Source organism: Homo sapiens, chromosome 7 (assembly GCF_000001405.40).
Source record: "Homo sapiens chromosome 7, GRCh38.p14 Primary Assembly".
In the NCBI taxonomy this organism is placed as follows: domain Eukaryota; kingdom Metazoa; phylum Chordata; class Mammalia; order Primates; family Hominidae; genus Homo; species Homo sapiens.
This window is the reverse complement of record NC_000007.14, coordinates 139,795,637-139,821,184: the sequence shown is the minus strand read 5'-3', so window position 1 is coordinate 139,821,184 and position 25,548 is coordinate 139,795,637. Positions and strand designations below refer to the sequence as shown.

General features: G+C 44.7%; 1 protein-coding gene across 5 annotated transcripts in view, besides 2 other annotated features; it reads right to left on the bottom strand.

Moving 5' to 3' along the window:
* TBXAS1 (thromboxane A synthase 1) overlaps positions 1 to 25,548 on the bottom strand; it is a 242,052-nt gene that overhangs the window by 199,109 nt on the left and 17,395 nt on the right. For 3 of the 5 annotated variants that reach the window (NR_159363.1, NR_159365.1, NR_159364.1), the window contains one exon: positions 23,699 to 23,975. The exons of the other annotated variants lie outside the window; for them this stretch is intronic. The gene's annotated coding sequence lies outside the window, so the exon portion shown is untranslated. Of the gene's footprint in view, positions 1 to 23,698; positions 23,976 to 25,548 lie in introns of those variants that run through there. 5 annotated transcript variants of the gene reach the window in all.
* Positions 12,429 to 12,629: a silencer, noted in NCBI's record as "peak6784 fragment used in MPRA reporter construct". NCBI's record gives its function as "represses an SCP1 promoter by STARR-seq MPRAs in K562 erythroleukemia cells {active_cell/tissue: K562}" and the evidence as "EXISTENCE:reporter gene assay evidence [ECO:0000049][PMID:32103011]".
* Positions 13,901 to 14,195: an enhancer, noted in NCBI's record as "tiled region #3006; HepG2 Activating DNase matched - State 8:EnhW". NCBI's record gives its function as "activates a minimal TATA promoter and a strong SV40 promoter by Sharpr-MPRA in HepG2 cells {active_cell/tissue: HepG2}" and the evidence as "EXISTENCE:reporter gene assay evidence [ECO:0000049][PMID:27701403]".

The window sequence follows — 25,548 nt, the reverse complement described above, 5'->3', positions numbered from 1 at the left end:
CCCTTCAGCCCCAAGCCAGAAACTTGGGATCATCCTTGACTTCTCTCAGCCCCCTCATCTCAAAATCCAGTTAGTCAGCAAGCCCTGCTGGTCCTGCCTATGAAGTCTCCCTCATTCTGGTCACTACTCCTTTTATCCATTCATTCTACTTCATTTCGTTGATTCAACAAATGCCTTGGCATCTACTGGGCATGGGAGACTGTTCTAGGCAATGGGAAGACACTAGAACAGTGAACGAGCAAGGTTTCTTAGGGCTTAGATTTAGAGACACCCACCCAAATATCAGCTCCATGGTTTCTCATTAGATTGCAGCCATCTCCTGATTGACCTCTTATTCATTAATCCAAGAATTATTTATTGAATTTGTACAGGGTGCCTGGCACTGTGCTGGGTGCGCATGAAGAATGTAGAAAACACCAGCATGGCTGGGAGGCATTAAGCAGAAGAAAGGGTAGGACTGGCCTACACAGGAGAGATAAGGTAGGGTCAGGACATCTAAGACCCAGTGGACCATGTGAAAAATGCACTACTTCCTTCCAAAAGGAAAGGAAAGCCATTGAAGGGCTTTATGAAGTGGGGTGACTTGATGCTATTTAGGGTAACTGTAACCCGTCTATTTTCATTGTTAAAATTAATACAGACCTCCTCCGATGATAGCCCAACATTGGCGTGTCAACATCAATCAGGTGCCCCCATCACACAGCAGGGGAGTTGAAGCAATGCCACCATTCAGACTTTGGCTGTATGTGTCAGCAGAAGATGAGCAATGAGGTTGTCAACTACAAGTTGCTCTTGATGTTGCTAACCACACATGGCCCATCCTATCTCCTTCTCATTTCAGCCTCTCTATCAATTTATGACACCCATGATCTCAGCTTGTCAGATGTTAGCACTTCCTGAGATGTTGTCAAATCTCTCCCGCCCCTCCTCATGGCTGGATGCGGCTACATGTTGATGACTAGACGTAGTTCTCCTTGCAAAAGTGGAGAGTCAGCAGACGGCTTGACTGCCTTAAGGCAAGTCTTAGAGCTTTCAGGCAAGTTGGTGCCTGGAACAGTCATTTTTCACCTCCTAGTCACTGGGAGTGAGAGTGGGAGCAGGCATAAGGAGACAGACAGCATGCTCAGAAAGCAAAAGTTAGAATCCAGAGTTTGACAGCAAGATCACAAATGGCATTTCAGGCAAGTTGTCAGGACCAGGAAGTCCCACTACAGAGCAAAGGGGGCACTGTGACCCAGGCACAGGCCCAATAATAGAAACTCTCAAGCAGAAGATAATTCGAAGTTCTGGCAGCAGATGCCTCCAAGGAAATATGTCAGCAGGTGGTAGGGCCCCAATCTCCACCTAGTATGGCAATATAGAAATAAGAGCTGAGTTGGGGAGGCTGAGAGTGGTGGCTCATACCTGCAATTCCAGCACTTTAGGAGGCCAAGGCAGGTGGATCACTTGAGGTCAGGAGTTTCAGACCAGCCTGGCCAACATGGTGAAAACCCATCTCTACTAAAAATACAAAAATTAGCCGGGCATGGTGGCGTGCACCTGTAATCCCAGTTACTAGGGAGGCTGAGGCAGGAGAATCGCTTGAACCTGGGAGGCGGAGGTTGCAGTGAGCCAAGATAGTGCCACTGCACTCCAGCCTGGGCGACAGAGTGAGACTGCATCTCAAACAAAAAACAAACAAACAAAAGAAGAGAGTTGGGGGAAAGAATGAATAGCATAAGTGTTGTAATGAGGGGCCCCCAAATCTCAAGAGCTTCACACTACAGAAGTGTGTCTGTCACTCATGTAACAGCCCAAATGTGTGTGTTCAGTAGGCAGCCTTCCATGCAGTGACTCAGGAATTCAGGCTTTTTCCATCTTGTAACCCTGTCGTCCACTGGAACCTCAGATGCCTCTGCTGGATCATCCACAACCAGCTGGCAAGTGGAAAACAGAGAAGATGATATGAGGAAGAATTTTACAGGCCAGGCCTGGAGGTGGTGTACACACTCTTTGGAAACATGACCACCCCTAATTGCAAAGGAGGCTGAGAAATGGAGCCAGCCCAGGAGGAAAAGGAAAGAGGTTTGGAAAGCATATAGCATTCCTGCCACAGGTGGGGTCCCATTCTGGGTATGTCCTCAATTCACCAATTCCTGTATAGGAAACAAGCCACTAGAACAGGCTGGAGGGTGGCAATTGCAGCCCTCTGCTAAAAAGCCAAGGCCCAGTAGCTAGTTCAGGGATCAGGGATGGAGAGGGACTAGCCTCTGAGATGCTGGTATGATGGCATCTGACCCAGTATTCCCAACTCTCTCTCCAGGAGGCTGAGTTGCTACCAGGGGTCTGCTCTACATGTGCCACCAGGAGCCTTCCCCCAGCTCCATGAAGCCATTGGAGCCGTCTATGTGTGGTATTCATCTCACCAGCCCAGCTGGACCCTCTGAGAACGTGGTTTCTACTTGAATCAAGGCTCAATTCTCCACACTCCAATGAACAATGTAAATCAGAAATATTCACTCTGTCTGCAAAGGGGGCACTGCGACCCAGGCACAGGCCCAATAATGGTAAACCCTCAAGTAGAAGATAATCCTAAGTTTTGGCAGCAGCTGCCTCCAAGGGAATATGTCAGCAGGTGGTATGGTACCAGTCTCCACCTAGAATGGCAGTATAGAAATAAGAACTGAGTGAGGGAGGCTGGGCGTGGTGGCTCATACCTATAATCCTAGCACTTTGGGAGGCCAAAGCAGGTGGATCACTTGAGGTCAGGAGTTAGAGAACAGCCTGGCCAACACCTTCGTACCTTGAACATTTAGCCAAGTCCCTGTCTTTACTGATCCTAGTTCCATCCCTGTCTGTACTGGTGGTCTCTGTACTGAACCCCAGTCTGACTTGTACCTGCACCCACCTGAGTTACAACAGGCCCTGTGCCATCCTATACCTTCACCCTCTCCTAACAAGGCAGGCTCCTTTCTGTGCATTTTCAGGACTTAGAGTAGCCACCACCTCCTCAAGGAACCCTCCAGGGCCTCCCAGAGATGATCCATTGTCGATCCGTGTCCTGCCACAGCACCCCAATCCTACTCAGTGAGCTTGCCTCTACCAACACTCTAGATGTAAGCTTTTTGAGAAGAAGAGTTATATCTGGTTCAACAATGTATCCCCAGTGACTGGGAGAATGCCTGCTTGTCACTCAGTAGGTGATCACGAAATGTTTCTGAAATGAATGAATGTACTACTGCCTGTGTTTTAGGTAGCTGCCATCAGGTAACAATGGTGCTCTTCAGGTTATGAAGGTAGGTGGCACCACTCTTTCTGCAAGAACACTTGACATAAATTAAGGTTTGTTTCCATAATCCAAGAACCTGGCTCATTTTCTATAAAATATATCAGTTTATTGAAATAACCATAAAATCATTTCTCAACCTAGATTTTCTAAGAAGGATATAATGAGTGAAATACCATAAAGAAAAGAAGAGGTGCAGAGAGAGCAGTGAGTTCTTGAGTCCTTGAGTAATTAGTTCAGTTCTCCACATCATCTCACTTTCATGCTATTTAACTCAAAGACTGGAGTGTACCCATTCCCACCCCTGAGCACTTGAAGTTACTAAAGCTGCGTCCTCTGGACACCCCGTGGCTGCCTGTACCTGTTCCGGGTTTATGGGCTCTAATTTTACTTGCTTATCTTATCGGGGTTTTACCAGTATACCAGTTTGGCTGGAGCACAAGATTCATGAAGCAGGATGGTGAGAGATAAGGTTGAAGTGGTAGGGAGGGGCCGGCAGGGGGGTCTCTGGATACCAGGCTGAGGATCATGGACTTTGCCCACAGGACAGGCCACAGGACTTGCTGGCGGCGTCTTGTGGAGCAGGCACGTGTGCATGCATGTACAGGTGGGCAGCGTGCATGTGTCAAGCTCACATGGGAAGCAGGGTGGAAGAGGAAGGGATGGGCGCCAAGTGCTGTCGAGAAAGACAGCTGATGGGGGGCTGGGACGGGGGGAGACAGCAGCAAGGGAGACCCACTGGGAGATCCCTACCAGAATCTAGGAAGTAGGGCTGAAGCATGAGACTAGTGAGAAAATGGACAGTGATCGGTGGAGGAGGATTCAGATATTTCTTAATGAAACAGCTGGGGGCTTGGCAACTGATTGGGAAGGACAAGGAGAGGAGGGAGTCCAGGAAGCCCAATCATTGAACTAAACCCTGACTCTGCAAATCAGACCTTCCCCAGGACACTTGACTTCTACTTGCTGGAAAATTCTCTTGTCTACGCAGCTCACAGGTGACTAGGGCTGTGGAGTTGCCCTCCCCACCTGCTCTACGCAGCCCTACGAGGAAGCCTCCAGGGTTCCAAGCCTGGATGGGGGAGTCAGAGACAGGATTTCTTGGAGAACTAAGGAAGGCAGGGAGCAGGGGCAGGGATGGGAGCATCCTGAGATTCAAACATCTCTATTGCAGTAGTTCAACTTCAGCAAATATCGGAATCACCTGCAGAACTCGTTAAATACAACACAGTTTGATGGGCACCATTGCCAGAGTTTCTGATTCAGTAATTCTGGGTTGGGGCCCTAGAATTTGCATTTCTTCCAATTTCCCAGGTGATGCTGATGCTGCTGGTCTGGGACCACTCTTTGAGAACAGTGTGCTTCTCAACCCTACCTGTGCATTAGAAGCACCAGGGAGATCCTTTAAAATTCTAAAGCCCACACCCTACCCAGACCAACTGAATAAGAATCTACACATTAGATTCAAAGATGGCACCTCTGGGGGACACCTGAGGTCTGAAGAAGCTGCTGTATTTGGGCAGCAGCATGTCAGCAACTCTTTCGATTCTGTATGAATTTCTTCCTATTCTGTCTCAAGCACGCTCCTCTGTCCCCCAGGAGAGACCCTGACTTCCCATCTGTATTAGCCGATTTTCACACGGCTCTAGAGATACTACTTGAGACTGGGTAATTTATAAACAAAGGCAATTCAATTAATTCACAGTTCTGCATGGCTGGGGTAGCCTCAGGAAACTTACAATCATGGCAGAAGGGAAAACAGGCGCCTTCTTCACAAGGCGGCAGGAGAGAGAAAAAGAGCATGTAAAGTGGGAAGAGCCCCTTATAAAACCATCAGATCTCATGAGAACTCACTCACTATCATGACAGCAACATGGGAGAAACTGCTCCCACGATGCAATCACCTCCCACCAGATCCCTCCCTTGACAAGTGGGGATTACAATTCGAGATGAGATTTGGGTGGGGACACAGAGCCAAACCATATCACCATCTTTCCTTGACAGGTGTACCAAATTGGCCAGAATTGTCCAACCCTCTCTGAGGATTGATGTGAACTGTTTCCAACTTGGTTCTTTCACAATAATTAGCCATCACTTTACTGCTTTCCTGGTCACTGGCTGCCTGGGGGTTTCCTCTTCCCCTCTCCTCCTCCTCTGAAGTGACCTCCTCCTACGGAAGCCCTGGTCTCATACTTGCACTTCACCACCACCCAACTATTTGGAGTCAATGTCTGCCTTATCTCCCAATAGGATTCTTCAAGTTTCTGCAGGAACTGAGAAGTGTTCCTTTCTCTCAATATGGCAGTGGAAGATGAGGTAACATAAGGTGTGTGTGGGATGGAAGTAAATATGGCTCTGAAACCTCACATAATTACATCATAGAGAGGTATTGCCAAGGTAAACTAATAAGAAAACAGTTGGGTGGTGTTTACCAACAAAATCAGTTTGGGCTGTGTTATTCACTGCCTTTGCTTTGATGAAAGAGCTGCGGATTAGAATCATACATTTCAAAAGAGGGAACCTCTTCATGGAATTGACCAAATTATTCTTCCTACTTGGTCAGGCTGCCTAGAAACTTGGAAAATTGCTAAGATAAGTTCTAGGAGCTCCATGGAGGCTCCTCTGCCCACTGGCTGCTTTGCAGAGCACCCTGTTTGTCTGTCTGTCTGTCTCGCTCTCTCTCTTTCCATCTGTCCTGATGCCTGTGCTTCTCCTAAGGCCATGGAACAGCAAGGCCAGAGTTTTAGTCTCAAACTCACAGTCCTAATGTTGGTTTTAAATTTACATTCTCTTACATCAAAATCCTTGGGTAGCAAAATTGAGATTCGAATCCTGTTTCTTATCAGTATCATGTAGACAGTTTGGATTTGAGACAGTATTTCAGCTCACAGCTGGGGTTGGAGGAGCCAGCATGCCACCACCCCTTTAGGAAACACTTGTAGAACACCCTTAAGGTGAAAGGCACAGAGACAGGTGCTAGGGGAGGATGATGGACAAGACCAGTGCCCTGTGCTCAGGGAGCTCACCACCTAGGGACCAGGACACCAGACCCAAGTTGAGACCAAGGATGCAGAAGCTGTTGAGGACTCCAGGTCAGTGCCAAGAACTACAATCTTTGGAAAAGTTTGATCACCACACAGAGACTCTGGGCACCTAGTCCAGTCTTCTACCTTCATAGCACCCCTGGCACCTAGGTACCTGGTCTCTGCTTGAAATCCTCCAATTCTGGGGAGCTCACTTTCTCATTAGACATGCTTTGTCTTGTTGCTCAGCTCTAGAATCTGTGTCATATTTCCCCAAGGCCCTAATTCAGTGAGGCCTTGGAACTCTCTCATTGGAACTCCAGAGAACTATATTTTCCCACCTTGTATGAGGCCTTCCACATCTGTTCTTTCCTCCAATGGCAACAACCACCTTGTGATTCCAGCAAAGTCATGTTGAGTGTCCACTTGACCAACTGGATACAATCAAGCTTGGTCAGTTCAGTGAACTTAGGCCAAGATAAGGCTACTTAACTCCTTACCTGACACTGTTTTCATCCCAAAGCTCTGCCATCTTGGGGAGGGCATCCCAGAGTCCAGCTTTTTGAATCTGAAATGTATCATGCCAGCTAATTTTCCCAGAAAAACTGAGTGAGAGGGTGAGGGTTGGAACCATGTACTCCACACTTTAAACCTTCGTGGAAAACAAACCAATTGTCTGAGCCATAGGCTGAGTTGATCAGGAAGTGAGCTGAGGGTCGATAGAGACTGTTCCTCCCAACACTACATAGCAATGTGGCTCAAACGCTACTTCTTTCTACTTAGATGATTTTTCTGTAATGAAGAGATGGTACCATCTGGACAGTGGGGTGCTTCATTTAGGAGAGGCAGAAGCAAAGGCCGTGCTGGGGGAAGGCAGCATCAATGCCACACAAACGGTCCAAAAGAAAGCCAATCCAAAAGGGCCAGAAAAATGAAAACCACATCCACATAACATGCAAGCAACAGAGACTTCTGATTTTGTAGAGTGGAGAGGAAGTGGCACCTGAGGGCTCCCACTGTGCCTTCTTCACCTCATTCATCCTGGCTGTTTTGGGTACCAGGTCTCAAATGTGCTAACTGATTCACACCTCATTTTGGCAGAAAAAGATACATACACATTGTATGCCTGTCATCCCTGAACCTAGTATTTCTTAATGCTTAACATAGTTACAAAGAAGATCTGGAAAACTAACAGCCCTGTGTTCTAGAGTTGCTGAGTTCTAGAGCCACAGGTAAGGTGGATTTGATGATGATTACAGAAAAACAGTTACATGTGATTCAGGGACCCAACCAAAGGTCCGAGAACAGGTGACCACAGCCTATAACTCTATGATGGATGTTATCATTCAAAAGAAGCAGGATATAACATAACCAAACCTTTGGACAAACCTATGGAAACCTGGACCTATTCTTCCATGTGAAACATTTGTCAGGAAGTCGTCCTCAGTCAAGCGGACAACAGATTTTCTTCAGCCCCTTGACCAGAAGGGTGTTTCCTCAGCCAGGCAGCAGCCCATCTTTTGTGGCTGTGCAGAGCGAGTTACACTAAAGGAAGTGATCAGAGGTCTGCAGTAGTCAGTGGAGGTTACTCACATCCTGAAGGGACATCAGTGACCCAGTACTGGAAGGTCTCTGAAAGGCCGAATACGAAAGGTCCAGGGCTTCCCCAAAATGTTCTTCTCCACTCTTATCCTCAAACAGGAATGAGCGCCTCCTCAGAGGATGAACTGAGTGACCCACCAGGTTCTTCTCAAGCATTCAAAGCACTATTTTATTTTATTTTATTTTATTTTATTTTATTTTATTTTATTTTATTTTATTTATTTTATTTTATTTATTTGAGACCGAGTTTTGCTCTGTTGTCCAGGCTGGAGTGCAGTGGCATGGTCTTGGCTCACTGCAACCTCCGCCACCCCGGTTCAAGCGATTCTCCTGCCTCAGTCTCCTGAGTAGCTGGGATTACAGGCACCCACCACCACACCTGGCTAATTTTTGTATTTTTAGTAGAGACCGGGTTTTGCCATGATGGCCAGGCTGGCCTTGAACTCCTGACCTCAAGTGATACACCTGCCTCAGCCTCCCAAAGTGCTGGGATTACAGGCGTGAGTCACCGTGCTTGGCTTCAAAGCACTTTAGATGAGGTACAGTGACTGCTCATTTCTCGCAGGAAACTCTCAGGTACTTCTCGTGTTATCAATGCAAGACACAGGGGCTCACCACCTTTCCCCAAAAACTGGGGATAGGAATGTGGAGAAATGAATACATTCCATTCATTCCTTCTTGCAAGTCCCCTCAACTCATTTTGATACTGGTCTCTAAGAAGAGTACTGTCTTTAATTAGGCATAATCCACAAAACACGACCCAAGGCAAAGGACGTTTTTCCACGTGTACATGTACAGGAAAAGCAAAGGAGATTTTCTTCCTTATGTTTGTCTGAACTTCCAAAAATCTAGAATGAATGTGTATTACTTTGGTAACAGAGAAAAAAATTTCTGGAAAAACGTTTGGTTCAGGGTAAAGCATCTGATATGAGGATAACTGCACTGAGAGTGTTTGTTTCTTCATCTGTCACCGAGGAGTTCACCCCAACATTGTGGGGTTGATATTGTCTCCCCTCATTTGTGTGTATTTGCTCAGTCGGAATTCAGCCTCAACCACAAAGTGTAGAACATTTCAACCTACTTTTCTTTGCTCTGGAAAGAGTTTCTATCTAGCTATTTTTATGGCACACAAGAAAAAGAGAGGTCTTTTACCATTCCTATATACTGCTGCTTTTCAAGGACGGCAATAAGAACTAAACATAAGATACTGAACTACCACCTGTGGAAGACTGTTCCATGGCATGGATGCCAAGTTGTGCCAAGGCCAGCATTTCAGAGCCTTGAATTTGGGAGCTGGAAGACATTGAGGCCCGGATTTATGATCCTTCCCATGTCTCAACCATCTGCTTCAGGCATGCTCCTGAAATTTATGAAATGCAATTGCTCGAAAGGGTACAGGCCAGGAAGTGCAGGGTTGAAATATTCTACCTGGCCAGAGTCACTGTCATGTAGACTAACTTAAGGCTTTGCTCATTTTAAAGGGGGCATTTCTCATTCACAACAGAGTACATTCCATGCCATTTGAAATGTTATAAAGCAGTCAAATCCAGCTTTGAATGTTCAGAAAATATCCCTCACCAAAGGTCATTTTCTATTTCCATCTTTAGGGTTAGTCACTCATGTGGTTCTTGTCAGAGTGAAAAACTCCTTTCCTTTTGTCTTCTTTCCCTTCTTTTTTCCCTTTATCTGTTATTGAGCCTGCAGATCATGTTAGACTTTCCTTCCAGAAGTTAACTCCACAGTGTCCTTTCTAAGACACCCAGTCATGCCAGGGAACCATTTCTAGTCCAGAATCATCAAAGACAGGTACAGACAATTTTCATAAGCAGCATCTGTCCTAAGACAGGAGATAAGAGCTTGCCCATGCCATTTTGTCCTTCTTCAATAAGGATAATTTGGCTTTCAGACTAATTGTAAGCACAGCCCCTTTTGAAGCATCCAGTGAGAACAGCTCATCCCTCTTACCCACACCACGGCTTTGCTCATGAGTCTCAGACTCTCAGGAAACATCTGTTCACCACAAATGTGACCCATTATCAAGTGTGACAAAGAGTGACTGTATGTGCAGAGTATATATAGATTTGTACCCATCATAGGCAAGAAATAATGTTTCCCTGTGGAAGGAGATATTGAGAAATCACAATATACTTCAGGTTGAATCCAGTCAAAAAATAAGCTATTTCAAATGCTACTTCCTCGAATTTGAATTAAATTCAGGTGAACTCAGTCTTCTGATTTTGCTTTTCAGTCTGATGTGTGTGTGTATGGATAGAATAAGACCTTAAACTTTTCTTTAGGGAGAGAATAAAATCTCTCTAGGTTTTCAGAAACATATAATTCCTACAAGATATGGACCCAGACTCACTGGCATAGTTTGGGTATATGTGGTATTGTTGGTTTTAGCTCTGTTATGATTTGCTTTTAAATATTTATTTTTGAAATATAAATCTTGCTTAAGATTGAAGTCTGCTCTGGAGAAGTAGCTGTTTCTTTTGCTGTTGCTTAATAGAACTGTTGAATCTTGTAGGAAAGCAAAAAGATTCTGTTCTATAAATAAGTCATCCTAGTGAAGTATAAAATAATCCCAGAGCGTGCACTGCTACGTCTTCTTAGTGAGGCTTGAGCTAAAGTTCTGTCAATGTCTGGTAAATTAGGCATTCTAAGAAAGAAGACTATGCAGTTAATAGTATACAAAAATATGCATCCCTCTAAAAATGCTTAGAAATTAGAGTCTGTGTCATTAAAATGACAAGCATCCTGTTTAAAAACTCAAAAAACATTGTCAATACCTTTACAAATTCCTTTCCATTCATCTATCCCCATGGCGAATATAGCACCTGTCACACCAGAGACACTCAACCACTGTTCTGTTCAGCCCAAGAGATAACTCTTCCTGGTGGACTACTCTGATTTCCTGGCAGTCACAGCAGTCACAAAGATGACTTAGAATGGTAATTTCCAGGCCGGGCACAGTGGCTCACCTCTGTAATCCCTTTTGGAAGGCCAAAGTGGGAGGATTGTTTTGAGCTCACAAGTTTGAGACCAGCCTGGGCAACATGGCAAAACCCCATCTCTACCAAAAAGAAAAAAAAAGTCAGGCATTGGTGGCTCATGCCTGTAATCCTAGCTATTTGGGAGGCTGAGGTTGGAGAATTGATTGAGCCCGTGAAACAGAGGTTGCAGTGAGCCGAGATCACACCACTGTACTCCAGCCTGGGTGACAGAGCGAGACCCTGTCTCAAAAAAAAAAAAAAGTTAATTTCCACTTATTGAAAATGACCAAGCCTGGGCTTAAAGAGCTGCAGGACATGAAATGATGTCCTTAATGCCTTAAATTATCACTATGATGGTTAATTTTAGGTGTCACCTTGATTGGCTCAAGGGATGCCTAGATAGCTGGTGAAGCATTCTTTCTGGGTGTGTCTGTGAGGGTGTTTTCAGAAGAGACTGGCATGTGAGTTGGTGGACTGAGTGGAGAAGATTCACCCTCAACATGGACGGGCACCACCCATTCAGCTTTGGACCTGGATAGAACAAAAAGGCAGGTGAATCCACACTCACTCTCGGAGCTGGGACACCCTTTTTCTCCTGCTCTTGGACATCAGAATTCCAAGATCTCTGGCCTTTGGACTCTGGAACTTGTACCAGCAGACCCCCTCAAGTTCTCAAGCCTTCAGCCTCGGACTGAGAGTTACAGCATGAGCTCCCCTGGTTCTGAGGTTCCGAGGCCTTTAGACGGGGACTGAGCCATGCTGTCAGCATCACTGAGTCTCCAGCTTGTAGATAACCTATCATGGGACTTCTCAGCCTCCATAGTTTGTGAGCCAATTCCCCAAATAAATCCCTTCTCATATATCTATAACTCTCTATCTCTATCTACCTATCATCTATTTACCTATGTATCTATCTCCTGTTGGTTCTGTCTGTCTATCTATCTATCTATCTATCTATCTATCTATCTATCTATCTATCTAATCTCCTATTGGTTGTGTCTATCTATCTACCTATCTATTTCCTATTGGTTCTATCTATCTATCTATCTATCTATCTATCTATCTATCATCTATCTATCTATCTATCTATCTATCTATCTATCATCTATCTCCTATTGGTTCTATCTATCTATCTATCTATCTATCTACCTATCTCCTATTGGTCCTGTCTCTCTGGAGAACTCTAATACAACACTTTGCCAAAGTGATTAATTTGCATTCTATAGCCACAGGCAGTATATGAGTAAACAATTTATACTTAAAACTGCTCTAGTCAGCTTGGTGAGTTTACCCAATCAACAAGCTTTTTTTTTTTTTTTTTTATGAAGACCTGGCACTCTGTTTCATCATGCAGCCAAGAGCATTTCCCAAAGTGATTAGAAATAGAGATAGATGAGAAAAGAATAGTGCTAACAGAAAAGGCACCATCAATTCTTTAAATCATAATTCACCAAATGTGTACTATGTTCCAGGCACTATACTGGGATTACAAAGATAAATGAGACACAGCCTCTGCCCTCAAGAAGTTCATGGAATAGGAGGTGAGACAGGTGTGTAAATAGATCATTGCAATGTGGGGAGAGCAGTGATGGAGTGGCAGAGGGACACACTCCCACTGTGAGCAGAGCTGACTTAAGGGAAGGATAAGTATTGACCAGATGTCGGTGGAGATGAGGGATCTCTAGGAAGGGGAGCCAGGAGCACGCTGGAGCTAGCTCAAACCAGCTCAGGAGGGCTGCTCGCTAAGTGTTCAGGAATTTTGCCAGCAAGCTGTTACATGTGGTCATTATTAATAATTAAATTATGTAAGTTTACAATTAAATAAATTATATTAAAAATAAAGGTTATAAATACTAAAATACAAAATACTAAAGATAATAAATGCTAAAAATATATCACTCCCTAATTATTTTACTACTATTTACTATTATCTATGCCCTTGAGGGTTTTGTTTTTGTTTTTTTGAGACAGGGTCTCACTCTGTCACCCAAGCTGGAGGGCAGTGGTGTGATCTCAGCTCACCACAATCTCTGCCTCCCAGGCTCAAGTGATTCTCCTACCTCAGCCTCCCAAGTATCTGGGACTACAGGCATGCACCACCACATCTGGCTAATTTTTGCATTTTTTTTTTTTGTAGAGATGGGATTTTGCCATGTTGCCTAGGCTGGTCTCAATCTCCTGGGCTCAAGCAATCCACCTGCCTCAGCCTCCCAAAATACTGGGATTACAGGTATAAGCTACCACACCTGGCTGAGGGTTTGTTTTAGGTCTATTGTATCTGTAAGGTGGAAATACTGTCTAATGGTGGCTATTGAACATCTCTACCCAACTCCACATTCAATGAAGTCATGTTAGTAGTTTGAGATTGGCGGTGATGGGAATATTTACACCACAGATGTCAGCAAATGCTAAAGAGCAGAGATTATTCCCCTCCCCAGAAGGCCATTTACCAGCAGACAGGGGCAAGGCCATGGAAAATAAACACAGGGAACTCCAAGCTGTGCAGAAAGCTGGGAAAATACATGGGAGGTTTAGGCACGAGGATCGCTTGAGGCCAAGAGTTTGAGACCAGCCTGGGCAACACAACAAGACCCTGTCTTTAAAAAAAAGAAAAAAATTGGCTGAGCGCGGTGGCTCACGCCTGTAATCCCAGCACTTTGGGAGGCTGAGGTGGGTGGATCACGAAGTCAAGAGATCGAGACCATCCTGGCCAACATGGTGAAACCCTGTCTCTACTAAAAATACAAAAAATTAGCAGGGCATGATGGTGGGCACCTGTAGTCCCAGCTACTTGGGAGGCTGAGGCAGGAGAATCACTTGAACCCGGGAGGCGGAGGTTGCAGTGAGCCGAGATTGCGCCACTACACTCCAGCCTGGTGACAGAGCGAGACTCCATCTAAAAAAAAAAAAAATTAACTAGGTGTGGTGGGACACCTCTGTAATCACAGCTGCTCAGGAGGCTGAGGCTGGAGGAGGCTGAGGCTGGAGGATCACTTGAGCCCAGGAATTCAAGGATACAGTGAGCTATGATCGTGCCACTGCACTCCAGCCTGGGTGGCAGAGCAGGAAACAGAATCCAGCAAAGAGCAAAGTTCAATGAGGTGAAAAGTGATCAAATCCCTGATGACCTCTGAGACCACATGGAAGAGCTGGCGCTGGAGGCTTTGGAGGACTCGAGGAAGGGAGAGATCATCTGCCCACAGCAGGGAGGGCAGTTGGACTGCAGAGTGGCCAGACCAGAGGCAGGAATCCAGGATGACTCCCCAGCAAGTGGAAGGCACATTCAATGAGAAAAGGTGACCAGTGCAGTGTTCCATATGGGAGTGTGTGCTGTCCAGTTTGTGAACCCCCTAGGTAGAAGCATTCGGCAGACAATCACTGTTCAAAGGAAGTTTGGGAGACATCTGGGCTGAGGCCAGGGACCACACACCAGTGTGGATGGCGGTGAAAGCTTTAGAGTGTGTGAGGTCACCAAGGAGGGCGGAGACAGAAAAGAACAACTGAGAATGGAGCCAAGGGGGAATCAAGGTGCAGACAGATGAGAGGGAGGATGGGGAGGGCACAGCCAGAGACCCTGGAGATAATGAAGCAGAATGGCAGGCAAGGCAGAAGAGTGTTTCAGGAAGCAGGAGACAGAGAGGGAGACAGGGCAGAGGGAGAGACCTGGAAAAAGGGGAACAGAGCATAGGTGTTCAATCCCCAGCTCCTAGAAACTCCTAAAAATACCAAAATAAAAACAGGCCAGGCACGGTGGCTCATGCCTGCAATCCCAGCACTTTGGGAGGCCAAGACGGCTGGGTCACTTGAGGTCAGGAGTTCAAGACCAGCCTGGGCAACATGGCAAAACCCTGTCTCTACTAAAAATACAAAAATTAGCTGGGTATGGTAGAGCGCGCCTGTAATCCCAGTTACTCGAGAGGCTGAGGCATGAGAATCACTTGAATCCAGGAAGTGGAGATTGCAGTGAGCCAAGATTGTGCCACTGCACTCCAGACTGAGTGACAGAGTGAGACCCTGTCTCTAAAATAAAATAAAATAAAATAAAATAAAATAAAATAACATAGGCCAGGCACAGTGGCTCATGCCTGTAATCCCAGCATTTTGGGAGGCTGAGGCAGGTGGATCACTTGAGGTCAGGAGTTCAAGACCAGTCTGGTCAACATGGTGAAACCCCGTCTCTACTAAAAATACAAAAAAAAATTAGCCAGGCGTGGTGGCGGGCGCCTGTAGTCCCAGCTACTTGGGAGGCTGAGGCAGGAGAATGGTGTGAACCCAGGAGGCGGAGCTTGCAGTGAGCCAAGAGAGCGCCACTGCAGTCTGGCCTGGGTGAAAGAGCGAGACTCCATCTCAAAAAAAAAAAAAAAAAAAGCAAAAATTTGCTAAGCATGGTGGTGCACACCTGTAGTCCCAGCTACTCGGGAGGCTGAAGCAGGAGAATTGCTTGAACCCAGAGGCAGAGGTTGCAGTGAGCTGAGATCGAGCCACTGCACTCCAGCCTGGGCAGCAGGCTGTTTCAAAAAAAAAAAAGAAGAAAGAAAGAAAGACAAGAAAGAAAGAAAGAAAGAAAGAAAGAGAGAGAGAGAGAGAGAAAGAAAGAAAGAAAGAAAGAAAGAAAGAAAGAAAGAAAGAAAGAAAGAAAGAGAAAAAGAAGGGAGGGAGGGAGGGAGGGAAGGAAAGAAGGAAGGAAAGAGAGAGAAAGAAAATCTAGGGATGTGTTCTAGACTTTCATTCTAGATATTAAGACAAGGAGGAACTAGAAGGAAGACTCACAATTCAACTCACTTCAAAGAGTTGTGTGTCATGGGATGAAAGTGGAAGGTCCATCCCACTGAACCCTCAGGTTGAGCCCACTGAGGAACAGGAAGCACTCCTACCTTGGGGGCTGTGGCACTGGAGCCCCAGGCCCAGGAGCAAGTGAGGCAATATAACATAAAAGTTAAGACCATGAATTCTGGAGTCAGATAGTCTGGGTTTGAATGCTTATTCTGCTAATTATTAGCTTGGATAACTTTCTTAACTGAGCCCTCAGTTTCCTCATCTATGTAGTGGGAATGATGATAATATATATACCTCATAGAGTGATTGTGAGGATTAAACAAGGAAACACACATGCAATGTTCCAAATCAGGCCTGGCACCTGGCTAGCGCCACTGATGGCTGTGATCAGGATTGCTGTTAGGACACCCCCAGCACCACCAGGATCCCTGCTACACCCATCTGCCTGATGGATCACTGAACTTATCTCATTCCATCCTCCAATTCAAGATGGAAAAGGATTATTCTAATTGACTTCAGGTAAGCTGTGAAATCCATTCACATTACTTTTGGGGGAATGCATAGTCAAGAGAGATCTTTCCTCATTCCAAAATATATTAAGAGGGAAAAACAAACATGTTGTATTAGTCCATTTTCATACTGCTATGAAGAAATACCAAGACTGAGTAACTTATAAAGAAAAAGAGGTTTAATGGACTCACAGTTTCACATGGGTGGGAGGCCTCACAATTATGGTGGAAAGCAAAGGAGGAGCAAAGGCATGTCTTACATGGTGGCAGGCAAGTGAGTATATGTAGGGGAACTGCCGTTTATAGAACCATCATATCTCATGAGACTTACTATCATGAAAATAGCACAGGAAAAACCCACCCCCATGTTTCAATTACCTCCCACTGTGTCCCTCCCATGACACACAGGAGCTACAATTCAAGATGAGATTTGGGTGGGGACACAGCCAAACCATATAATTCTGCCCCTGGCCCCTCCCACATCTCATTTCCTCACATTTTAAAACACAATCATGCCTTCCCAACAGTCCCACAAAGTCTTAACTTATTCCAGCATTAACCCAAAAGTCCAAGTCCTAAGTTTCATCTGAGACAAGGCAAATCTCTTCTGCCTATGAGCCTGTAAAATCAAAGGCAAGTTAGTTATTTCCTAGATACAATGGGGATACAGGCATTGGGTAAATACATCCATTTCAAATGGGAGAAATTGGCCATAAAACAAAGGAGCTACAGGCCCCATCCAAGTCTGAAATCCAATAGGGCAATCATTAAACCTTAAAGTTACAAAATGATCTCCTTTTACTCCATGTCTCACATCCAGGGCATGCTGACACAAGCTTGGGCTCCCACAGCCCTGGGCAGCTCTGCCTCTGTGGCTTTGCTGGGTATAGCCCCCCTTCTGGCTGCTTTCCCAGTTGAGTGTCTGCAGCTTTTCCTGGTGTATGGTGCAGGCTGTCAGTGGATCTACCATTCTGGGGTCTGGAGGATGGTGGCCTTCTTCTCACAGCTCCACTAGGCAGTGCCCTAGAGGGGACTCCATGTGGGGGTTCCAAACCCACATTTCTTTTCTGCACTGCCCTAGCAGAGGTTCTCCATGAGAGCTCTGCTCCTGCAGCAAACTTCCACCTGGACATCCAGACATTTCCATTCATCCTCTGAAATCTAAGTGGAGGTTCCCCAACCTCAATTCTTGACTTTTTTGCACCTGCAGGCTCAAACCATGTAAAAGCTGCTAAGATTTGGGACTTGCACCCTCTGAAGCCACAAGTCCAAGTGGTACCTTGGCCCCTTTTAGCCACAGCTGGAGTGGCTGGGACTCACAGCACCAAGTTCCTAGGCTGCACACAGTGGGGGCCTGGGCCTGGCCCAGGAAACCATTTTTTCCCCCTAGACCTCTGGGCCTGTGAGGGGAGGGGCTGCTGCAAAGGTCTCTGACATACCCTGGAGACATTTTCCCCATTGTCTTGGTGACTAACATTGGGCTCCTTACTTATGCAAATTTCTGCAGCAGGCTTGAATTTCTCTCCAGAAAATGGGTTTTTCTTTTCTATTGCATCATCAGGCTGAAAATTTTCCAAACTTTCATGCTCTGCTTCCTCTTGAATACTTTTCTGCTTAGAAATTTCTTCCACCACATACCCTAAATCGTCTCTCTCAAGTTCAAAGTTCCACAGATCTCTAGGGCAGGGGCAAAATGCTGCCAGTCTATTTGCCAAAGCATAACAAGAGTCACCTTTGCTCCAGTTCCCAACAAGTTCCTCATCTCCGTCTGAGACCACCTCAGCCTGTACTTTATTGTCCATATCACTATCAGCATTTTAGTCAAAGCCATTCAACAAGTCTCTAGGAAGTTCCAAACTTTCTCATATTTTCCTGTCTTCGTCTGAGCCTTCCAAACTGTTCCAACCTCTGTCTGTTACCCAGTTCCAAAGTCACTTCCACATTTTCAGGTATATTTACAGCAGTACCCCACTTTACCAGTACCAATTTACTGTTTAGTTCATTTTCATACTGCTATGAAGAAATACCAGAGACTGGGTAATTTGTAAAGAAAAAGAGGTTTATTGGACTCACAGTTCCACATGGCTGGGGAGGCATCACAATCATGGCAGAGGGCAAAGGAGGAGCACATCTTACATGGCAGCAGGCAAGAGAGCATGTGCAGGGGAACTGCCACCACCTTCTTCTTTCTTCTTTCTTCTTCCTCTTCCTCTTCTTCTTCTTCTTTTCTTTTGAGACCAAGTCTCACTCTGTCACCCAGACTGGAGTGCAGTGGAGTGATCTCAGCTCACTGCAACTCCACCTCCTAGGTTCAAGTGATTCTCCTGCCTCAGCCTCTGGAGTAGCTGTGATTACAGGCACACGCCACCACACCCAGCTAATTTTTGTATTTTCAGCAGACATGGGGCTTCACCATGTTGGCCAGGTTGGTCTTGAACTCCTAACCTCAGGTAATCTACCCACTTCAGCCTCCCAAAGTGCTGGAATTACAGGCATGAGCCACTGCGAACAGCCGGGAACTGGCCTTTATAAAACCATCAGATCTCTAGAGACTTATTCACTATCACGAGAACAGAATGGAAAAAACACACCCCCATGATTCAATGACCTCCCACTGGGTCCCTCCAACAACATGTAGGGATTATGGGAGCTACAGTTCAAGATGAGATTTGGTTAGGGATGCAGCCAAACTATATCACGTGTAACCTATGCAACTATTCTGTAACGAGAAAATGGATACACGTAGCACTCAAGAAGTGTTAAAATTGAATATTTTAAAGAAAAAATGTTACTGTAGAAAATGGAAATACATTTGAACAACACTTAAAACAATATTTAAACTACATTTGATGGAGGGACAGATAAAAATCTCAGACTCCATGAAATAAAAGGTAAGAATGAGATAAGCCAACAAAGTGATATGAGAGAGTTGACACAGTTAAGAAAATAATGTGACTGGACGTGGTGGCTCACACCTGTAATCCCAGCACTTTGGGAGGCCAAGGTGGGTGGATCATCTGAGGTCAGGAGTTTGAGACCAACCTGGCCAATGTGGTAAAACCCCATCTCTACTAAAAATACAAAAATTAGCCAGACACAGTGGCGTGCATCTGTAGTCCCACCTACTTGGGAGGCTGAGGCAGAAGAATCGCTTGAACCTGGGAGGCAGAGGTTGCAGAGAGCAGATATCAGGCCACTGCACTCTAGCCTGGGTGACAAAAGGAGACTCTGTATCAAATAATAATAATAATGACATGGAAGAATTGTAAATAAACTTAGCAACCACAGTGGTTACAACTGGCAATGGAAGATAATTCAATCAGTGAAAAGAAAGCTAAGCATAGGACTGTATTCTGTAATGCAAAAGAAAAGGACAAAGATTAGCTGGGCATGGTAGCAAGTGCCTGTGGTCCCAGCTACTTGGGAGGCTGAGGTAGAAGGATTGTTTGAGCCTGGGAGGCAGAGGTTGCAGTGAGCTGAGTTGTGCCACTGCACACCAGCCTGGGTGACAGAGCAAGAACCTGCCTCACAAAAAAGAAAAAAAAAGGACAAAGAGATCAAAACTATCAGAAACAAGGTCTAGACATAGAAAGACAGGTGATAGAAATCTAGTTTTGAAGGAGAGAGAAAAAAAGAACAGAAGAGCTATTTAAAGATATTAGAAAAGAAAATATTTTTAAGTTGAAGCAAGACCTGCATTTGTAGATCAAAGCTCATCATATGTTAGCCCAAATTAATAAAAAACAGACCTAGATTTAGACATATTGTAGTGAAACAGTTAAATGTTGAAGGGGAATTTAACAATAATGTTAAAAAGCCAATACAAAGAAAACATTATTTTATTTAAAAACACATAAATGGAAAAATGTGGTCTGTCCTTGATTAGGAAGAGTTTTGATATTGCAAAGATACTGATTTCCCTCAAACTAACTGATAAGGTTAATGTCATCCCTAGTAAAATGCCAGCGGCATTATTTTTAAAACTGTCTCAAACTGTTTCTGAAATTATTCTGGAGTAATAAAAGATATTGATGGGGAGACACTGAATACAGGGAAGGAACAAATGAGAGTAAGGAAATATAGTTAGCTATAAACTATTTTGTAAGAAGAAGAAGAAAGTTTGGATGGAGTTGAATGAGTTTTTAAACATGAAAACAACAAGTAAGCAATTGATAACTGATAGGAAAAGACTAAAAATTTAGGTCAGGATTCCAGAGGACATGAGGAAATATGAGAAGGTCACAAACACTCTCAGATAGAAGGGAGAATATTCTATCCAAAGAGTCTGAAATCATCAAGAAACAGTAATATTAAAATAGTAATTATAATAGCTAACATATTGACCATTGCGTGGACAGCTGGAGAAACGATGGTTAACAAGACAAACACTCCGGGGTCTTTCGGAGCTTCAGGTCTGGGGGAGGCAGAAAAAAGATGAGGAAACAAACACAATCATTGCAAATGATAAAAAGGTATGAAGGAAATAAACAGGTAATAAGAATAGTGGCGGGAAGTGGGAATGACACTACTGAAGGAAGTCCAGAAGGGCTTCTCTGAAGATATTTAAGCCAAGACCTAGGAGATGAGAGGTGGAATGGATCAAAAAGCAGGGAGGAGGGTCATTAGGTAGAGAGCCTGGCCAGAGGTGGAAACGTGCTGAGATCAGTTCAGTCAGGTGCATTGAGGTCTTCGAGGAGGGAGGGAGAGGATAAGCCATGCAGGACCTTGGAAGCTACTATAAGGATCTTGGATTTTACCCTAGGTGCAATGAGAAGCCACTGGAGGCATGATACAACCTGATTTGCATTTTTAAACATTCTGGGCCACTGTGTAGAAAATGGATTGACGGGGCCAGAGGGGAGCAGGAACTGTCAGGAGGTTCTTCCAGAGTCTCAATAAAGGGTGGCATTGCCCTAAACTAGGGTGGTGAGCATGGAGAAAAGAGCTACAGGGAAACTCTGGAGATCCAGTCTGTGGGACTTGCCGACGGGTTGTTTAAGGAAGTGAGGGAAGACAGAATGATCCACACATTTCTGGCTTGGAACCTAGAAGTGGAAACTCTCCACTGGATAACAAGATGTGGATAGAGGGTGATGGGATATGGGCAGATAAAACGGTAATGAGGCTTGTGGGGTAGGGCCAGGCCTACTGCCCTAGGAAATTAGGAGACCTCATACACTCTGAGTCAGAAGCCAAGTGAAAGCCACATTAAGGAAGTTGTTCTACAACATGTGTGCTGGCTAAAATAGAAGGAGTCAAGTGGGAAGCCAATAAATGAGGACCTGGGCTTAATTCAGGGCAGCAAGAATGGCAAGGAAGGAACTAGGAAATCATTTGAAGAAAAATTTGGCAGCATATTGGGCTGGGCGTGGTGGCTCATGCCTGTAATTCCAGCACTTTGGGAAGCCAAAGGGGGGTGTATCTTTTGAGCTCAGAAGTTCAAGACTAGCCTGAGCAACATGACAAAAACCCATCTCTACAAAAAAATTTAAAAATTAGGCCAGGCATGGTGTAGTCCTAGCACTTGGGAGGCCGAGGCAGGCAGATTGCCTGAGCTCAGAAGTTCAAGACCAACCTGGGCAACACGCTGAAACCCCATCTCTACTAGAATACAAAAAATTAGCCAGCATGGCAGCGTGCGCCTATAGTCCCAGCTACTTGGGGGAGGCTGAGGCAGGAGAATTGCTTGAACCCGGGAAGCAGAGTTTGCAGTGAGCCGAGATTGTGCCACTACACTCCAGCCTGGGCAACAAAGTGAGACTGTCTCAAAAAAAAAAAAAATTAGCTGGGCTTGATGGCGTGCACCTGTGGTGTCAGCTTCTCGGGAGGCTAAGGTGAGAGGACTGCTTGAGCCCAGGAAGTGGAAGCTGCAGTGACCAGGGATTGCACCACTATACTCTGGGTGGCAGAGTGAGACTGTCGGAAAAAAAAAAAAAAAAAAGCAGTGTATGGAAGTAAAGAAGAGACAATCAAAGGTGACAATGGGAGAGGAATGGTGCTAATGTCTGACGGCAGGTGGAGAAGGAGGCTGGTTCTGAGAATGTTTCAGAGTGAGGACAGGGCTCCCAGATGGAAATGTCTGGCAGGCAACTGAAGTTACAGAACCAGAACTAAGATCTGAGGTCCAGACTGGCTGGCAAATGGGCCACATCCTAGAAAATGGAGGGTAATTCAATCTTTCACACACGGAATCAGAATCTTCTAAAAAATTAGAATACACACTTAAAATTCAAACTGCATTTGCTGGTCACACCACTCTACGTAATTCATTTTTCTTTGAAAATTCCGAAGCTTCCTTGGGTTCTTGTGCTTCAGGGTCACGATCAGGAACATGAATTATGGTTGGTATGAGACAACTTTATCTGAAACAGAACTACCATGGTTTGGGAGCAAATGTTCTCTTTGAGCCTCGGTGTAGGAAACAGACAAAGATGCTGATCTCCTGCATAGAAGGTTTCTATTCTCACACTTCTCAAAACTGACACAGATCACTATTTTTCAGCGTTAGCCCAGCTGACTTGCATTTTGTTTCCTGCTCTCGCTTCCACGTGTACCTTGTGAGCCATATGTTAGGCAGTTAATAACGTAGTTTCAGGAACAATACACCTGGCTTCCTCTGCTCACAGCACAGTGGAAACTTGGCTCCACCCATGCGGGAATCTCCCTGTTTTCTCCTCGGTTCGCCTCCCTTGCTGACAATCTCTTTCTCCCTCTCCTTGGCATCCATTTCTCATCTTCCTACCCTTTCGTGTTTTCTTCTCTTCCTGCTTCACCGGCTTCTTTCTTTTCCTTCTGGCTGGCGTGTCTCCCTCTTCAAGCTGCCTGCTTCATCCATCTTCTCCCCTACAGAGCTCAGAGATTTAGAACAGCACTTGCTTGAATCTCATTGTCTAAGCAATGACTGCCCTCCCTGACTTCTGTCTGTTAAAAAAAATAAAAATAAAAATTCTTGTCATTTGAGCTTCATGACTGCCTGAATTCTTGATACACTAAGATTTATTGTGTGTACACAATGGCGACCCCCAGGCTAAGCACTTTGAATGCATATCATGAGTGTTCCAAGGAGAAGAATTTCAGGAAGCATCTCTTTGTTCTATTTGGAAAACATAATTTTTATAATTATTCAAGGAGGTAATGCATGGAATCAAATGAATGCTGTGGCCAGATCCATGGCTGGGGTCCAAGGAGTCACTCTGAGGGCAGTGTGGCTTTTTTGAGGGAAGTTTGAACACTGTATCTCAGCTGTGAGTGGACATTACAGTGGTCAGCAGTACTTACTGCCTGTGCACTGACCCTTTACTTCATTCGTCTACCTTTTCCTCCATCCCACTCCCAGCCCCTCACCCTAAAGACTACACAGGAATGTAAAGAGTTGGTGAGAGTTGGGAGATTTGTTTGGGATAGGAAATGTTGGCAGAATAGGCCATCTTACAAGGTACTTTCTAGCCAACCAGCTGAGTCACTACATGGTGAAGTTAGTTTATAGTCTTTGTGAAGATGGATGGAATAACAAGACTTTGCAATGCTTCATTCCAACAATTCAGTCACTTTAATAACCAAACAAGATGTTACTATGTGAGGATCAATGCAGGGCCAATGGCTAACACTGTGGCCAAACCCCTGCCTGACCTCAATGACCAATGCAAGCAGAGCCACAGGGGAGAAGTAACCCGGTCAGCCACCCAACTGTGTTCTTTCCGAGTTGAACACACAACACTGAACCTGGACCCACTGCTCCCTAAAATGATTTTCTGTGGCTCCAAATAATCATTCTGCTCCAGGTAGTTATGGCTCTTCCTCAAAGCTTCTGTGAAAAATACAAAAACAGACAAAGAAGAAAGAACTCTTTTAAATGGCAGCAAGGTCTAGGTAGGCCTTCTTTCTATTTATGTGTAAAACTCGCTAATTATATTTTAATGGATTTTCTTCATGTTGAAACGTGTACATTAAATGTGGAGCCTTTCATTGACATTAGAATTGGCTGAGTCTCTATCATGAGAGCATATCTTACCAATTCTGTTAGTTCATTTAAAAATGGACATTGTGTCGACATGTCAAGCGCAAGTTTAACTGAGCTTAACAATGACGGATACAATTTTCAAAAAGTTAAAATACATGCATTGTATTAAGGCATTGCCTCTTCTTTATCCCAATGGTCATTAGAGGCTGCAGCCAAAATCGGAAACTTCTCTTCTTTTTTTAGATTAATAGACTTTATTTTTTAAGAGCTGTTTTACATTTTTAGAAAAATGAGCAGAAAACAGCATTTCCATATAAACCTGGCCCTCCTTCCAGTTTCCTCTATCATTAACATCTTACATTAATGTGGTACATTTATGACAATCAATGAGCCAATATTGATATGTTATCATTAACTCAAGACCATAGTTTACATCAAGGTTCACTCTTTGTGTTGTACATTTTATGAGTTTTGACAAATGTTTAATGACATGCATCCACCATTGCAGTACCAGACAGGATAGTTTCACTGGCCTGAAAATCATCTGTGCTCCACGTGTTCATCCCCTCTGTCTCCCCCAGATCCTGGGAAACCACTGTCTTCTTCATGTCTCCATAGTCTTGCCTATGCCAGAATATCATAGTTGGAATCACACAGTATGCAGCCTTTTTGGATTGGCTTGTTTCACAGTGCAGTATGCATTTAAGGCCCCTCCATGTCTTTCTGTGGCTTGATAGCTTATTTTTATCACTGAATGCTATGCCATTGCATAGATGAACCCTAGTTGGTTTATTCATTCCTTTTCCATTAAATACCGCTATGTGCTCTACATTTAACCAAGTTCTATGAGGATACCAAAAAATTCTACAACAGCTTTCTCCTCAAGGTTAGTCTAATTATGAAGATATATATTAGGCAAAATGATATAAAAGTATATTTTAAGGCAGTGAAGTATATGGTTTGTTCTAAACAAATGTGATCTAGAAAAGCAATGTTTTCAGGGGAACATGATCCCCTGAGATTAGACACATATTTTTTGTGTATATGTGTCCAGGGTCCAAGGCATTCATCACATTCTTAAGGGTATATAATATGCCCCCCACGAAATTAAGAACTACTGCAGAGATGAAGAGGGGTGCAAATGATAATCAGTTGCATTTGTAACTGGAGAAGAGCTTGTGAAGGAGGTAGGGCTTGGCCTGAAAACAGAAGGGTGGTAGTAGGGCCTGGTTACGTAGGCAGAGGAGTGGACAGAACCAGGAGAGGTGTGAAAGGGAGGCGGGGTGGTGAAACAGTGAGGAGGAACAGGTCTACTTTGAGTTAAGAAAGGGAAAGCTGAAACTGGATCCCTTCCTTACACCTTATACAAAAATCAATTCAAGATGGATTAAAGACTTAAACGTTAGACCTAAAACCATAA